This window comes from Homo sapiens, chromosome 8, assembly GCF_000001405.40.
Source record: "Homo sapiens chromosome 8, GRCh38.p14 Primary Assembly".
NCBI classification, from domain to species: domain Eukaryota; kingdom Metazoa; phylum Chordata; class Mammalia; order Primates; family Hominidae; genus Homo; species Homo sapiens.
In genome coordinates, this window is record NC_000008.11 from 144,221,031 (window position 1) to 144,238,286 (window position 17,256).

General features: G+C 47.1%; 1 protein-coding gene across 41 annotated transcripts in view; it reads left to right on the forward strand.

Moving 5' to 3' along the window:
* Positions 1-17,256, forward strand: part of MROH1 (maestro heat like repeat family member 1) — a 113,911-nt gene that overhangs the window by 73,015 nt on the left and 23,640 nt on the right. For all 41 annotated transcript variants that reach the window (XM_047422170.1, NM_032450.3, XM_047422189.1 and 38 more), the window contains one exon: positions 2,078-2,200. In XM_047422170.1, coding sequence (XP_047278126.1) covers positions 2,078-2,200 — 123 coding nt within the window. The remainder of the gene's footprint in view (positions 1-2,077; positions 2,201-17,256) is intronic.

Below are 17,256 nucleotides of genomic sequence, written 5' to 3' on the forward strand. Positions count from 1 at the left end.
CCTGGGACAGAATCCAGGAGGGCCCACACACAGAGCTCCCAGCCATCCTCCCCTGGGGTCGCGGACAGTGTTAGACCCCCCGCCCCTCTTCACAGCAGCAATGTGGGTCACAGAGCATCACAACCAGGGAAGCTCCTGCCTTGGGGTCTGTCATGTGGACCCGGTTGGCGCCCTCGTGGCTGAGCTATCTCCAGCCCCTCTGGAGGTGGAGCTGATGCCACGTGGCCCGTAGCCTCCACCTGTCACATGAGACCATCTGGTGTGGCCTAAGACCCCAGGTGGACAAGAACATTCTTACCAGGCCAGATGTTTGGGGCTTAGTGATGACCTCCCAGGACCCCAGGGCAGAGGCCAGGCCTAGCTTTGGGCGGGTGGATCTTTGCGAAAGTTAGGACTGCACCCAGGTTTGCACCCAGGTTACCCAGGGGCTGCTGTCTTGGGTAGGACCTGCTTGCTACAGGGGGAACAGAGACCCTTAGCCTTCTCGGGGGCTGCTCCAGCCTTTGTGCTGGGCCTCCTCTTGAGGTCCTTCTGTGAGACTCTTGTTGTTTCCCCAGAAGGTACTGAAACGGACCCCATGCCACATCTGTTGCGGTGCTCCTTACGTGTTCCACACACTCCCCAGCGTTCAGAGCTCTTCTCCCCACCGTACCCCTGACAGGGTCTTTTGGTCCTTTTGGACACCACCTGCAATGCCAGGTGGCTAAACGCACACAGTCTGGGCAGTCTGAGACCAACCGGCTCGCTCCTCCACACCCACCCTGTTCTCTGAGATAGCACAAGGAGGAAGTGCTTGGGGAAGCCTCCTCGGGGTGGGGATGCTGGACGTGAGAGCTGAAGGGGCAGAGGCGTGGTCACGATGCTGGAGAAAAGGATCCCCAGGGAGGGCAGCATGGGCAGAAGCCATGGCTCAGGGGAAGGGCTGGTTGCGCCACATTGGCCTGGCTGTGCCTCCGAGTCACCAGGCATGGTTACTGGGCGAGGCTGGACATGCAGGCTCAACTCCTAGGATTGCTGGGGTGACAACTGCAGATTCAGGGACCAGATTTATGGTACACCCCAGGAAACATGGGGATCACACGAGAGAAGCTAGCTCAGAAAGACAGCAGCCCCACCCCCTGAGGCCAGGGTGAGCCCCAGACGGAGGGATGGGTGTATTTGGAGCCTGGGAAGGGCAGCTGCCAGTGCCCAGGAGGCTGGGGGTTGGGGGCAGGGTGGCTTTGGGTGGAGCCCTCAGCAGAGCAGCTCTCTTGGAGTTGGGGTGCAGCTTGATGGAAGTGGATGGAGGAGGGAAAGTAAGTGAGATGCTCTCCTCTGGCAGCAGGGGAGGGAGGCAAAGGGAACTGGAGGAGAAGAATCCTTCCCTACGGACCTGAGCACATCCACAAGCTGGCAGGAAGGCTGCCTTCCAGGGGCAAAGGGGCCTTCACACAGCTTAGGGACAGAGAAAAAAGCAGACACAGGCGCAGGTGCAGGTGCAGGTACAGGTACATCCAGGTACAGGTGTGGGTGCAGACCCAGGTAGGTAGGTATAGATATGGGTGTGAGTGCAGGCTTAGGTGTGGATGCAGGTAATTATAGGTATGGGTGTTGGTGCTGGCACAGGTGTGGAGGAAGGTAGGTTCAGGTACAGGTGTGGGAGCAGGCATAGGTGTGGATGTGGGTGCAGGTAGGTACAGATGCAGGTATGGATGCAGGCACAGGTGCAAGTGTGGGTGCAGGCATAGGTGTGGGTATAGGTGTGGGCGTTGGCACAGGTATGTGGGTACAGGCCCAGGCCCAGGTATGTGGGTACAGGCCCAGGTATGGATACAGGTAGGTACAGGTGTGGGTACAGGTGCAGGCCCAGATGTGGGTGCAGGTAGATCCAGGTACAGATGTGGAGGTAGGTCCAGGTACAGGTGTGGATTCAGGTGCAGGCCCAGGTATGGGTGCAGGTACAGGTGTCAGTGTAACTGCAGTTGTGGGCACATGTGTGGATGTGGGTGGGAGGAAGACTGAGGTTCCTCTCTGCTGGCTGGACTGGCATGGCAGTCTCTGCGTCCCCTTCCTGATCTCCCATTTGTTCTCTGGGCAGGTGAAGCGGGCAGTGGTGCAGGTGATTAGCGCCATGGCCCACCACGGCTACCTGGAGCAGCCTGGAGGTGAGGCGATGATCGAGTACATCGTGCAGCAGTGCGCGCTGCCCCCCGAGCAGGAGGTAAGGGGCTGCCACCTTGCCTGCCTCCTAGGCCCACGCTGCCCCTGGCCTGTGTTAGGCACTGGCATCAGGAGCCACTGGCCCAGCAGAGGGTGGATATGTGGGCTGCAGTCTGCGTGCGGAGGTGCCCTCTGCTGTCTTTTGTTTAATAGAGACAGGGTCTTGCTTCTGTGGCCCAGGCTGGAGTGCAGTGGCTGTTCTCAGGTGTGATCATAGCACACTGCAGCCTGGAACTCCTGGGATCAGGAGACCCTCCCGCCTCAGCCCCCCAAGACTACAGGCACATGCGTGCCTGGCTCCCTCTGGTTTCTCAGTCAGAGCCTCTGCATTGAGCCAGTCCTCTCAGCAGCTCCCAGGACTCAGAACGCAGAAGCAGGAAATGGAGAGTTTGTCCTATTTGGGGCTTTTCTATTTAAGAAGTTACTGTACAAATGCCAATTTCTTGAAGGAGAGCAAGGTAGAACGTGGTGAAATAACCCACAGATGGTCTAGACAGCCCTCTGTCACCCTGAGCTGCAGCCCGCTGGCTGCTGAGCGCATCGGTGCTTGAGTCCCTGCAGCTCTGGGTCTGGTTCTTCAAGTTGGCAAAGCTGGTCTGTCCACCAAGGCCAGCTCAGAACAGACACGCCGCCCTCCTTGTGTTCTCGTGACCATCACTGTGGTGCCCACTGTGCCTCAAGTGGGATACGTGAATTTAACTGGAAACATCTGAGCTCAGTGACTGCATGCTGTGATGTTGCCTCTAAGTGCGTGGTCGTCAGTGAGGAAGCCGCACACATGCCTGTTCTGCAGGCCCCAGCAGGTGGGCCGCCACCAGCTCAGCTGATTCTGACCTCAGCGTCTCCATGGCAGCTCCACGGGTCGTTAGGCATGAACTGGAGAGCCAAGGCCTCTGTTTTAGTCTTTCAGTTCCCAAGAGTTTGGGAGTTGGAGGTTTCTTTGAATATTAGAAAACGTTATTAAGGTTTTCTAAAACCAAAAGAAAAACCATTTTGAATAGGATGGAATCTAACACTCAGATATTTATATCTATGTAATAATAATTATTATTATTTTTGAGACAGGGTCTCGCTCTGCCAGCCAGACTGGAGTGCATTGGCGAGATCACAGCTCACTGCAGCCTTGAACTGTGCTGAAGCGATCATCCTACCTCAGCCTCCTGAGTAGCTGGGACTACAGGCTCATGCCACCACACCTGGCTAATTTTTTATTTTTTGTAGAGACGAGATCACACTATGTTGCCCAGGTTGCTTTCGAACTCTTGAGGTCAAGCAACCCTCCCACCTCGGCCTGAAAAAGTGCTAGGATTACCGGTGTGTGCCAGCACACCCAGCACTCAAATGTGTTTTAACCACAGCACCTTGCTGTTTCCGTGGAGCCTCTCACTCAGTCTCCATTGCTTGATGTGTGGGGTTCAGTGTATCGACCTTTCTACTTTTGCATGTTTCAAATTATTCATGATAAAATGTTCAAAAAGCAAAGCAGGACATGTTGCTCTGAGACAAGTGGGCCTTGGGGTGTTCGCCAGACACACTGTAGAGGGGGTGAGCGGCAGCGGCAGGCCCTGTGGTGCCACTGGGTGCTGGGCTCTGTGGTTCAGCCCAAGGGGTGGCCGGATGATTCTGGAGCAGGCAGGTGCAGGGCCACTGGGGAGGAGAAGACAAATCAGGGAGCCTCGCCTGGATGTAGATTCCCCTTTAAGGTTTTTGGAGAAACATGAGTTAAAGATTAGAATTAGTTATTATTTTACTGTTTTATCTATATTACCACACCTAACTTTCTTTTTTTTTTTCCATTTAAATTATGTTTGGTTTTTTAATTTTTTAGAGACAAGGTCTCACTCTGTTGCCAAGGCTAGAGTGCAGTGGCACGATAATGGCCCATTGCAGGCTCAAACTCCTGGGCTCAAGTGATCTTCCTGCCTCAGCCTCCCGAGTAGGTGGGACCACAGGCATGCGCCAGCCACCATGGGTGGCACTTCTTGTGCCCATTTTCAAATTGGGTTGTTTTCTTGTTATAGAATTTTGAGAGATCTTTCTATATTCTGGGCACAAGTCCTTTGTTGGATTTATGGCTTATAAATATGTATTTTTTTAACTTTTAATACATATTGTTTTGTTCTTGAATAGAGACAGCCTGTGTTACCCAGGCTGATCTTTAACTCTTGGCCTTGAGTGATTTGCTTGCCTCAGCCTCCCAAAGTGCTGGGATTATACGTATGGGCCTCTGCTCCTGCCCATAGACATTTTCTTACAGGTCTGTTGCTTGTCTTTTTACTTTCTTAACACTGTCTTTCAGAGAGCAGAAGTTTTAATTTTTTTTTAATGGCCAGTTTACTTGAGATGGAGTCTCACTCTGTTGCCCAGGCTGGAGTGCAGTGGTGCAATCTTGGCTCACTGCAACCTCTGCCTCCCAGGTTCAGGCGATTCTCCTGCCTCAGTCTCCTGAGTAGCTGGGATCACAGGCATGCACCACCATGCCTGGCTAATTTTTTATTTTTTAAATTTTTAGTAGACACAGAGTTTTACCATGTTGGCCAGGCTGGTCTTGAACTCCTGACCTCAGGTGATCTGCCTGCCCCGGCCTCCCAAAGTGCTGGGATTACAGGTGTGAGCCACTGCACGTGGCCTAAAAGTTTTAAGTTTTAGGATTCACATATAGGCCTATGATTCATTTTTAGTTTTTTTTTTTTTTTTTTTTTTTAGGTGGCGTCTCACCCTATTGCCCAGGCTGGAGTGCAATGGCGTGATCTCAGCTCACTGCAACCTCCACCTCCTGGGTTCAAGCAATTCTTGTGCCTCAGCCTCCCGGGTAGCTGGGATTGCAGACGTGCACCACCACGCCAGGCTAATTTTTGTATTTTTAGTAGAGACAGGGTTTCACCATGTTGGACAGGCTGGTCTCAAACTCCTGACCTCAGGTGATCCTCCCGCCTCGGCCTCCCAAAGTGCTGGGATTACAGGCATGAGCCACTGTGCCCGGCCTTTTGAGTTAATTTTTGTTAAATGTGAGGTGTGTTTGAGGCTCGTTTTTTTGCATGTGAATGTCCAGTTGTCCCAGCACCACGTGTTGAGAACACTCTTCTCTGTACGTTGACAAATTGCCTTGCATCTTCGTCGAAAATCAGGCAACTGTATGGATTCTCTCTAACGCTCCAGCTCCACTCATCTGCGGCATCTGTCATCATCTGTCAGCAGTACCACACTGTCTTTCCATGGCTTTACGTTGTTCTTTTTTTTTGAGACGGAGTCTTGCTCTATTACTCAGGCTGGAGTAAAATGGTGCCATGCTGGCTCACTGCAGCCTCCACCTCCCAGGTTCAAGCAATTCTCGTGCCTCAGCCTCCTGAGTAGCTGGGATTATAGGCGTGTACCACCACACCCGTCTAAGTTTTGTATTTTCAGTAGAGATGCAGTTTCACTGTGTTGGCCAGGCTGGTCTCAAACTCCTGGCCTGAAGTGATCCACCCGCCTCGGCCTCCCAAAGTGCTGGGATTACAGGCGTGAGCCACCATGCCCAGATGCTTTATAGTAAGTTCTGGAGTCAGGTAATGTGAGTCTTCCATCTTTGGTCTTTTTCGATCATGTTTTGGCTATTTTAGTTCCTTTGTTTTTCCCTGTAAATTTTAGAGTCATCTTGTTGATAATATTCCGTCTTCCAATCCATGAAAGCAGTACATTTCTACACTTATTTAGATCTTCGATTTTGTTCACCAGTATTTTGTAATTCTCAGCATGTCGATTCTGTATATTCTGGTATTTTGTTAGATTTGTAAAAGCTATTTTGTTTTTACTGCCATTGTAATGGTACAATTTTGTTCATTTCAATTTCTAACTGTTCATCGTTAGCATACAGAATATACAATTAATTTTTAGATATTGACCATGTATCCTGTGGCTTTGCTTTTCTATAGATTCTTTGGGATTTTCTACATAGAGCATCATGTCTTCTTCATATAGGCACTTTTATTTGTAAATCTGGGTTAGCTTTTTTTGTTTTCTTGACTTACTACATTGGTGAAGTCTCTAGCATGCTGCTGAATGAATAGAAGTGGTGAGAGCAGCCACCCCTGCTTTGTTCCCATAAGGGGAACATACTGCCTTTTACTATTAAGAATGCTGGGGGCTGGGCGCAGTGGCTCATGCCTGTAATCCCAGCACTTTGGGAGGCTGAGGCGGGCAGATCATTCAATCTCCTTGAGTTCAGGAGTTCAAAACCAGCCTGGACAATCTGGCGAAACCCCATTTCCACAAAAAATACAAAAATTAGCTGGGTATGGTGGCACATACCTGTAGTCCCAGCTACTCTGGAGGCTGAGGCAGGAAGATCACTGGAGCCTGGGAGGCAGAGGTTGCAGTGAGCCAAGATCATGCCATTATACTCCAGCCTGGGTGACAGAATGAGACCCTGTCACACACACACAAAAAGTTGAATGCTGGGCCAGCGCAGTGGCTCACACCTGTAATCCCAGCACTTTGGGAGGCCAAGGCAGGAGGATCACTTGAGCCTGGGAGTTTGAGACCAGCCTGGGCAACATAGCGAGACCTTATCTCTACAAATAATAAAAAAAAAATTAGCTGGGCCTGACGGCTCATGCCTCAGGTCCCAGCCACTCGAGAGGCTGAGGTGGGAGGATCATTTGAGCCCAGGGAGTCGAGGCTGCAGTGAGCTGTGATCACACCACTGCGCTCCCGCCTGGGTGACATAGTGACACCCTACCTGAAAAAAGAAAACAGAATGTTGTTTGGGGAAGCACTTTAGGAGGCTGGGGCAGGAAAATCGTTTAAGGCCAGGAATTTGAGACCAGCCTGGACAATGTAACCAGACCTCATCTCTACAAAAAAATTTAAAAACATTAGCTGGGTATGGTGGCATATGCCGGTGGTCCCAGCTGCTCAAGAGGCTGAGGTGGGAGGATTGCTTGAGCACAGGAGGCTGAAGCTGCAGTGAGCTGTGATCACACTATTATGCTCCAGCCTGGGCAACAGAACGAGAACCTCTCAAAAAGAAGTTATGTTTACACTATACTGTAGTATATTAAATGTGCAATAGCATTATGTCTAAAAAGCAATGTACATGCCTTAACTTACAAACACTTTATTGCTAAAAAAATTGCTAAGGATCATCTGAGCCATCACCAGTCATAATCTTCTTGTTGGTGGAGGGTCTTGCCTTGATATTGATAGCTGCTGGACTGATCAGGGCGGTGGTTGCTGAAGGTTAGGGTGGCTGTGACAATTTCTTGTTTTTGAGATGGAGAGTCTTGCTCTGTTGCCAGGCTGGAGTGCAGTGGCGCAATATCAGCTCACAGCAACCTCCACCTCCCGGGTTCAAGCAATTTCCCTGCCTCAGCCTCCCAAGTAGTTGGGATTACAGCCACACGCCACCACACCCAGCTAATTGTTTGTATTTTAGAAGAGACAGGTTTTCACCATGTTAGCCAAGATGGTCGCAATCTCCTGACCTCATGATCCACCCGCCTCGGCCTCCCAAAGTGCTGGGATTACAGGCGTAAGCCACTGCACCTGGCCAACAATTTCTTAAAATAGGACAATGATGAAGTTTGCTGCATTGATTGACTCTTCTGTTCACAAAACTTTTCTATGTCTTATGCACTGCTATTTGATAGCATTTTACCCACAGTAGATCTTTCAAAATGGGCGTCATTCCTCTCAAACCCTGCCACTGCTTTATCAACTAAGTTTATGGAATAGTCTGAATCCTTTGTTGTCGTTTCAACAACGTTCACAGCATCTTCACCAGGAGCAGATTCAGTCTCAAAAAACCACTTTCTTTGCCCATCCAAAAGAAACACTACCTCATCCATTCCGGTTTGATCATGAGATCGCAGCAATTCAGTTCCATCTTCAGGCTCCATTTCCAATTCTAATTCTCTTACTGTTTCCACTACATTTGCAGTGACTTCCTCCACTGATGTCTTGACCCTGTCAAAGTTATCCATGAGGTTTGGAATCAACTTCTTCCAAACTCTTGTTCATGTTGATTTTGTTGACCTCTTCCCATGAATCACAAATGCTCTTCATGGTATCTACTATAGTGAATCCTTCCCAGAAGGTTTTCAGTTTTTGTTGCCCAGATCTGTGAGAGAAATCACTGTCTATGGCAGCAATCGATTAATTACCTTATGAATTTTTTTTTTTTTTTTTTTTTGGAATAGGGTCTCACTCTGTGACCCAGGCTGGAGTTCAGTGGCTCCATCACAGCTCACTGCAGCCTCAGCCTCCTGGACTCAATCCTCCCACCTCACCCTCCTGAGTAGCTGGGACTACAGGCACACACCAACATGCCCAGCTAATTTTTGTTTTGTTTTGTCTTGTTTTTTTAAAGATAGGTTTTGCTATGTTGCCCAGGTTGGTCTTAAACTCCTGAGCTCAAGCGATCTGCCCACCTGGGTGACAGAGCAAGACTGTGTCTCAAACAAAAACAAAGAAATAATAAAATGCTCTTAAAATGTCTCCATGCCAGCAATAAGGCTTTTTTGTTTTCTCTTAGCTTTTCCTTTGCAGTCATTACAGCTTATGCCTGTAATCCCAGCACTTTGGGAAGCTGAGGCCAGCGGATCACTTGAGGTCAGGACTTCGAGACCAGCCTGGCCAACATGGTGAAACCCCGTCTCTACTAAAAATACAAAAATTAGCTAAGCGTGGTGGACCACACCTGTATTCCCAGCTACTCGGGAAGCTGAGGCAGGAGAATCACTTGAACCTGGGAGGCAGAGGCTACAGTGAGCTGAGATGGCGCCACTGCACTCTAGCCTGGGCGACAGAGCTACACTCTGTCTCAAAAATAATAATAATAATAATAATAATGCTCTTTGCTAATCTCCTGGACAACTTGTTGCGGTTTCTCCATCAGCAATTTCTGCTGCACCTTGGTATTTTTGTTATGGAGATGGCTTCTTTCCTTAACCCTCATGAACCAACCTCTGCCAGCTTCCAGCTTTTCTTTTGCAGCTTCCTCTCTGCTCTCAGCCTTCACAGAGTTGAAAAGAGTTGCTCTGGATTAGGCTTCGGCTTAAGGGAATGTTTGGCCGGTCTGATTCCCTATGCAGACCATTCAGACTTTCTCAGTGTCAGCAATAAGGCTGTTTTGTTTTCTTATCATTCGTGTGTTCACTGGAGTAACACTTTTAATTTCCTTCAAGAGCTTTTCCTTTGTATTCACAACATGGCTGACTAGCACAAGAGGTCTGGCCTTTAGCCTGTGTCAGCTTTTGACATGCCTTCCTCACTAAGCTTAATCATTTCTGGCTTTTTTTTTTTTTAATGATCTTTTAATATGCTGTTGAATATGGCTTGCTAGTATTTTATTGAGGATTTTTACATCATTGTTCATCTTGGCTTATAATTTTTTTCTTGTGATGTCTTTTTCCAGCTTTAGTATCAGGGTAATGCTGACTTGGTAAAGTTAGTTAGAAGGTGTTCCCTCCTCTTTAATTTTTTGGAGGAGTTTGAGAAGGATTGGCATTAATTCTTCTTTAAGAAGAATTCTTTGGTAGAATTCACCAGTGAAGACATCAGGTCCTGGATTTTTCTTCACTAAAAGGTTTTCTTTTTTTTTTTTTTTTTTTTTTTTAATTGATCATTCTTGGGTGTTTCTCGCAGAGGGGGATTTGGCAGGGTCACAGGACAATAGTGGAGGGAAGGTCAGCAGATAAACAAGTGAACAAAGGTCTCTGGTTTTCCTAGGCAGAGGACCCTGCGGCCTTCCGCAGTGTTTGTGTCCCTGGGTACTTGAGATTAGGGAGTGGTGATGACTCTTAACGAGCATGCTGCCTTCAAGCATCTGTTTAACAAAGCACATCTTGCACCGCCCTTAATCCATTTAACCCTGAGTGGACACAGCACATGTTTCAGAGAGCACAGGGTTGGGGGTAAGGTCACAGATCAACAGGATCCCAAGGCAGAAGAAGTTTTCTTAGTACAGAACAAAATGAAAAGTCTCCCATGTCTACTTCTTTCTACACAGACACGGCAACCATCCGATTTCTCAATCTTTTCCCCACCTTTCCCGCCTTTCTATTCCACAAAGCCGCCATTGTCATCATGGCCCGTTCTCAATGAGCTGTTGGGCACACCTCCCAGACGGGGTGGTGGCCGGGCAGAGGGGCTCCTCACTTCCCAGTAGGGGCGGCCGGGCAGAGGCACTCTGGCCTCTGATTTAAAGTGAGAGGTGTGCGGCTCTTCCTCTCACATGAACACATAGAGGTGATTGTAGGGTTTTAATTGGACTAATTTCATTATTGTTGTCTTTCAGGGAGCAGGGAGACCCTAGCAGAGGGCGAGAGGTGGGGAGTGGCTGGCCAGTGGGTCAGGACACCCAACATTCGTTGATTAAGCTTGCAGTTTTATATACTGCAGTTCATAGCACCCCAAAACAATTATAGTAACATCAGAGATCTCTAATCACAAATCACCATCACAGATATAATATTAATGAAACAGTTTGAAATATTCCAAGAATGAGCAAAATGTGACACAGAGACACACACCAAGCACAGGCTGTTGAAAAAGGCGCCCGTAGACTCACTGGACACAGGGCTGCCCCAGACCTTCCACTTGGTTAAAATGCAGCCCCTGTGACGTACAGTAAAGCGAAGCCCAGTGAAACAACGTCACGCCCGAAATGGGCTTGCTTGCTTGTTTTTATTGACACATGATAGATGTACATATACTCGGGGTACCTGTGATAACTTAATACATTCATATTATGTGTAGAGATCAAATCCAGGTAACTGGGATAGCCACCACCTTGCATGTTGGTTCTTTCTTTATGCTAGAAGCATTCTAATTATTCCTTTCTAGCGATTTGGAAATGTACAATAGATTATACTATAATCCATAATCTATAGTAGGGTAAACTATAGTCACCCTACTGATCTATAGGATACTAGGTCTTTTTTCTGAATATATATTTGTACCCATTAATCAGCCTCTCTTCATACCCCCACCTTCTACCCTTCCCGGCCTCTGGTAACCACCAGCCTACTCTCTGTCTCCATGAGAGGCACTGTTTTTGCTCCCACCTGTAATAGGTTTTCATTGATGCCCTTTATGAGCTTGAAGAAATTCCTTTCTATTTCTAGTTTTCTGAGACTTTATTATGGATTTTATGGATTGATGTCAAAATTGAAACATTTTTGTGCATCTATTGGTGAAATTATGTATTTTATCTTCTTTTGACTGTTAGTATGGTAGATTAGATTGAGTGCTTTGTTTGTTTGTTTATTTATTTATTTATTTATTTATTTATTTATTTTTGAGACAGAGTCTTGCTCTGTCCCCCGGGCTGGAGTGCAGTGGCGCAATCTCAGCTCACGGCAACCTCCGCCTCCCGGGTTCATGCCATTCTCCTGCCTCAGCCTCCTGAGTAGCTGGGACTACATGCGCACACCGCCACGCTTGGCTAATTTTTTGTATTTTCAGTAGAGATGGGTTTTCACCGTGTTAGCTAGGATGGTCTCGATCTCCTGACCTCGTGATCTGCCCACCTCGGCCTCCCAAAGTGCTGGGATTACAGGCGTGAGCCACCGCACCTGGCCTATTTATTTATTTATTTATTTATTTATTTATTTATTTATTTATTTATTTTATGAGACAGGGTCTTGCTTTGTTACCCAGGTTGGAGTATAGTGATGCAATCATGGCTTACTGCAGCCTCAACCTCGCAGGCTCAAGCAGTCCTCCTGCCTCAGTCTCCCAAGTAGCTGGGACCACAGGTGGGCACCACCACACCTGGCTAATATTAAGTTCTGTTTTTGTAGGGATGGGGTCTCTCTGTGTTGCCCAGGCCAGTCTAGAGCTCCTGGGCTCAAGAAGTCTTTCTGCCTTGGCCTCCCAAAGGGCTGGGATTACAAGCAAGAGCCACAGCACCTGGCCATGATTGCTTTTTCAGTAAAACATTTTTATGATGGTAAAATATCATAAACTTGACTGTCTCAACCCATTTTAAGTGCACACTTCAGCGACTTTAAGCTCATTCACATTGTTGTGGAGCCATCACCACCTTCCAGCTCCAGAGCTTGTCCATGTTCCCAAACAGAAACTCTGTCCTCATTAAATGCTAACTCCCATTCCCTCCCCCGCAGCTCCTGCACCCACCATCAACCTTCCCTCCCCCGCAGCTCCTGCACCCACCATCCACCTTCCCTCCCCCGCAGCTCCTGCACCCACCATCCACCTTCTCTCCCCCGCAGCTCCTGCACCCCACCATCCACCTTCTCTCTCCCGCAGCTCCTGCACCCCACCATCCACCTTCTCTCTCCCGCAGCTCCTGCACCCACCATCCACCTTCTCTCTCTACGAATTTCACTGCTCGAGGCACTTCGTGTAAGTGGACGTAAACAGCGTTTGTCCTTTTGTGTCTGGCTTCTCCCACTCAGCATAAGGTCCTGAATGTTCTCCCATGGTGTGGCGCTGCCAGAATTTCACTCCTTCAGGGCTCAATATTCCCTGTGTGGAGATGGCGAAGTGCTTATCCCACTTGTCCCTTCATGGACACTCGGGGTGCTGCCACCTTCTGGCTCCTGTGAATAATGCTGCTGTGAACATTGTTGCTTTGTAGCAAATTCTGAAATTGGGAAATACAAGTTCTCCAACTTTGTTCTTTTTCAAGATCATTTGGCTATTTTGGGTCCCTTGAATTCCCATGTGAATTTATTTTAGCATCCGCTTGTCAATTCTTGCACAGAAGTCATCCGGAATTTTTATAGGGATTGCACTGAATCTGTATATGTTTGGGGAGTAGTTCCATCTTTTTATTTATGCATTTATTTTTGAGACGGAGTCTTGCTCTGTCGCCCAGGCTGGAGTGCAGTGGCGCGATCTCGGCTCACTGCAAGCTCTGCCTCCCGGGTTCACGCCATTCTCCTGCCTCAGCCTCCCGAGCAGCTGGGACTACAGGCGCCTGCAACCACGCCCCGCTAATTTTTTGTATTTTTAGTAGAGACGGGGTTTCACCGTGTTAGCCAGGACGGTCTCGATCTCCTGACCTCGTGATCCGCCGGCCTCGGCCTCCCAAAGTGCTGGAATTAAGGCGTGAGCCACCGCGCCCGGCTGTAGTTCCATTTTAACAATATCAAAATCTTTGTATCTATGAACATGGGATGTATTTCTATTATTTAGGTCTTTATTTTAACATTTTGTAGTTTTCATAGTATACGTTTTGCACGTTTTTCGTTAGATTTATTCATAAATATTTTACTCTTTTTGATGCTATTGTAAATGGAATTATTTTCTTTCTTTTTCGTTTTTTTTTTTTTTTTTTTTTTTTTTTTTTTTTTTTCAAAAAGAGTCTTGCTCTGTCTCCCAGGCTGGAGTGCAGTGGCACAGTCTCGGCTCACTGCAGTCTCCACTTCCTGAGTTCAAGCAATTCTCCTGCCTTAGTCTCCTGAGTAGCTGGGATTACAGGCGCCCACCACCATGTCTGGCTAATTTTTTTTTTTTTTGGTAAAAATGGGGTTTCACCATGTTGGCCAGGCTGGTCTTGAACTCCTGACCTCAAGCCATCTACCCACCTTGGCCTCCTTAAGTGCTGGGACCACAGGTGTGAGCCACTGCACCTAGTCGGAATTATTTTCTTAATTTCATTTTCAGTTTATTATTTGCTACTGTATAGAAAAACAATTATCCTTTTTCTTTCTTTTTTTTTTTTTTTTTTTGAGACAGAGTTTCACTTTGTTGCCCAGGCTGCAGTGCAATGGCACCCTCTCGGCTCACTGTGACCTCCGCCTCCCAGGTTCAAGCAGTTCTCATGCCTCAGCCTCCCGCGTAGCTGGGATTACAGGCGTGCGCCACCATGCCCAGCTGATTTGTTTTTGTATTTTAGTAGAGACAGGGTTTCACCATGTTGGCCAGGCTGGTCTCAAACTCCTGAGCTCAGGCAGTCTGCCCATCTTGGCCTCCCAAAGTGCAAGGATTACAGGCATAAGCCACTGTGCCTGGCCTACAATTATTCTTTCATATCGATCTTGTATACTGCAACCTTGTTGAACTTGCTTATTTTAATAGTTTTTATTGGATTTCTTAGGATTTCTATAAGGATTGTGTCATCTACAACTATAGTTTTACTTCTTTTTTTTCAGTCTGGATGCGTTTTATTTAATTTCCTTGCTTAGCTGTCCCAGCTAGAACGTCCAATACTGTTGAATAAAATCGGTGCGAGCAGACAGCCTTGTCTTGTTCCTTCTCTTTGTGTAGAAGCATTTAGGCCGGTACCATCAGGTATGATTCCTGCTGTGGGGCTTCATCAGGTCACAGGTACCACCTTCTAGTCCTGCTTTGCTGAACGGTTTTGTTATGAAGAAGTACTAGATTTGATGTGCTGTTTACTGTGTCTAAGATGAGCTTGTCGTTTTTGTTCTTTATTTTAGTGATATGGTGCATTTCATTAAGTGATTTTCAGATGTTAAACCTGCATTCCTGGGATAAATCCCACTTGGTCATGGTGTATAATCGTTTTTATACATTGTTGTGTTCAGTTTGCTGGTATTTTGTTGAGGATTTTCATGTCTATGTAAGAGATCATGGTATATGCTTTTCTTATGCCTTTGTATGATATTTGTAATCTGTACACACACATATAGGTACATACATGCACAATTTTTTTCCAACTCATTTGGGAGAAAATTGAGACATCGTGTCCCTTTATCACTGACTACTAAATATCTTGTTTATTTCCTAAGAATAAGGACATTGTTCTACACAACCATAGTCCAGATGTTGGAATCAGGAAATTCTACATGGAGACCATAATGTCACCTGATCCATGCACTTCCTCGGTCATCCCAGTTCTGTCCCTTTAGCTGCTTTCTGGTATAGGGTACAGCCCAGACACATACATTATGTGGCTGCTGTGCCCTGTTAGCCTCCTGCCCTTGTGTTTGTTGACCTGGATACTTTCAAAGAATTGAGACCAGTTATTTTGTTGAATAGCTCAGGTATGGTGGTGTTTTCTCATGATTTGATCCAGGTGATGCAGTTTTGGGAGGAATCTCATGGAATCGTGCATGTCCCCACCAGTGTATCATATCGGGGGTCCTAGTGTTGGTTTGTTTCAGTGTTGATCTTGTTAGTTCTGATCACTTGTCTATGCTCGGTTTCTGCACTGGAAAGTTGCTGTTTCTGCCTTGTAATAAATAAGTAGTTTGTAGGGAGATCTTTGGGATTAAGTAAACATCTTCTTGTGATTAAACATTTAGTCAGCATCAGGCCGGGTGCGGTGGCTCACGCCTGTAATCCCAGCACTTTGGGAGGCCGAGGTGGGTGGATCACTTGAAGTCGGGAGTTCAAGACCAGCCTGGCCAACATGGTGAAACCCCATCTCTACTAAAAATACAAAAAATTTAGCCAGGTATGGTGGTGGGCGCCTGTAATCTCAGCTACTCGGGAGGCTGAGGGAGGAGAATTGCTTGAACCCGGGAGGCAGAGGTTGCAGTGAGCTGAGATCACCCCACTGCACTCCAGCCTGGGTGACAGAGCGAGACTCCATCTCAAAAAATAAAATAAAATAAAACAAAATAAAATAAGTAAATAAACACTTAGTCAACATCAATTGTTTTTAATTATCTATGGATGGTTTTCTAACTCCAGTGATATTGCTGTACTTAGTTCTTTGGCCTCTGTTGTGACAGAGCCTCTCCTATTCCTTTTTTTTTTTTTTTTTTTTTTTTTTTGAGATGGAGTCTCGCTCTGTCGCCCAGGCTGGAGTGCAGTGGGGTAATCTCGACTCACTGCAAGCTCCGCCTGCCAGGTTCACGCCGTTCTTCTGCCTCAGCCTCCCGAGTAGCTGGGACTACAGGCGCCCGCCACCACGCCCGGCTAATTTTTTGTATTTTTAGTAGAGACGGGGTTTCACCGTGTTGGCCAGGATGGTCTCGATCTCCTGACCTTGTGATCCGCTCAACTCGGCCTCCGAAAGTGCTGGGATTATAGGCATGAGCCACCACGCCTGGCCAGAGCCTCTCCTATTCTTATGTGCATGCATCTCTCTCCGCATGGACTCGTGGTTTGCTGTTTGACGCAGGGGTCCATGCGCAGTCCCTGTTGCTGGCCTTGGTGTTCAAACTGTCCCACACTTGGTCGGTAGCACCCTTCGAGCGCGCAGGCCCCTGTCCTGAGGCCCTGTTGCCCTTTCTGGCGCAGGACGGTGTCCCAGCTCACCTGGGGCTGCCCGTGCCTCTGCTCTGCGGACCCTTCCATGAGCTATTGGTCTCTTGTTTCTGGGAAGCTCGCTCCTTTATTTCTTGAGTATTTCTTGCCCCTGTTTTTGTGTCTCACTGACTTTGGTGTATCTGTTATCCGAAGGCTAGCACTGCTGTCTTCACATCTTTTAGCTTTTTCTTCTTCCATTCTTTTTAAATTTCTTCTTCCTTGAAGTCTTCGGCAGCCTGTTCTTCCAAGTTAGTAATTTCTTCCTCAGTGAATCGTTACATTATTCGTTTCCTGAATTGAATTCTTTATTTCACGGTTATACTTTTTCACACCCTGTCGCTGGGATTTTCCTTGTTCTTGGCTCCTCATTTCCCCGTTGTGGTTCCTTGTTTCCCTGTTGCGGTACTTTTGGTGCATTTTTTCGCACAGGCATTGTCCCCAGTCTGTGTCCTAACGTTCGTGTTTCTGGTGGAGTATGTCCTCACTGTTCGTTATCAGGTATTTTGCAGTTTCTATTTGGTTTCTTTATTAACGCAAATGATTCTTTTATGATCTTTAAAATCTCCAGGTCGATAGGTTTTCATGGGTGTTGTGGATTTATTGTTATATTGAATCTGGCCAGGTTGATTTCTGCTTTTAAGTGTTGGTTGCAATATTATTTTTGGCCTAATGGTCAGGATTTCAAAGTGTATGTTTGGTATGAAGTTCTATCTATATTTTTAGTGCCTACTGTAAAAATTGAAGTTCAAGGCCTAAATATCACTGTTTTTTTTTTTTTTTCTGTGTGACTTTCAGCTTCTGAAAGAGAGGGATTAGAAGTCCCTGCAGTGTTGCCATTTTTCCAAATATGCCGCTTTGTGGTTGAGCTTTTACTTTTTGGTATTT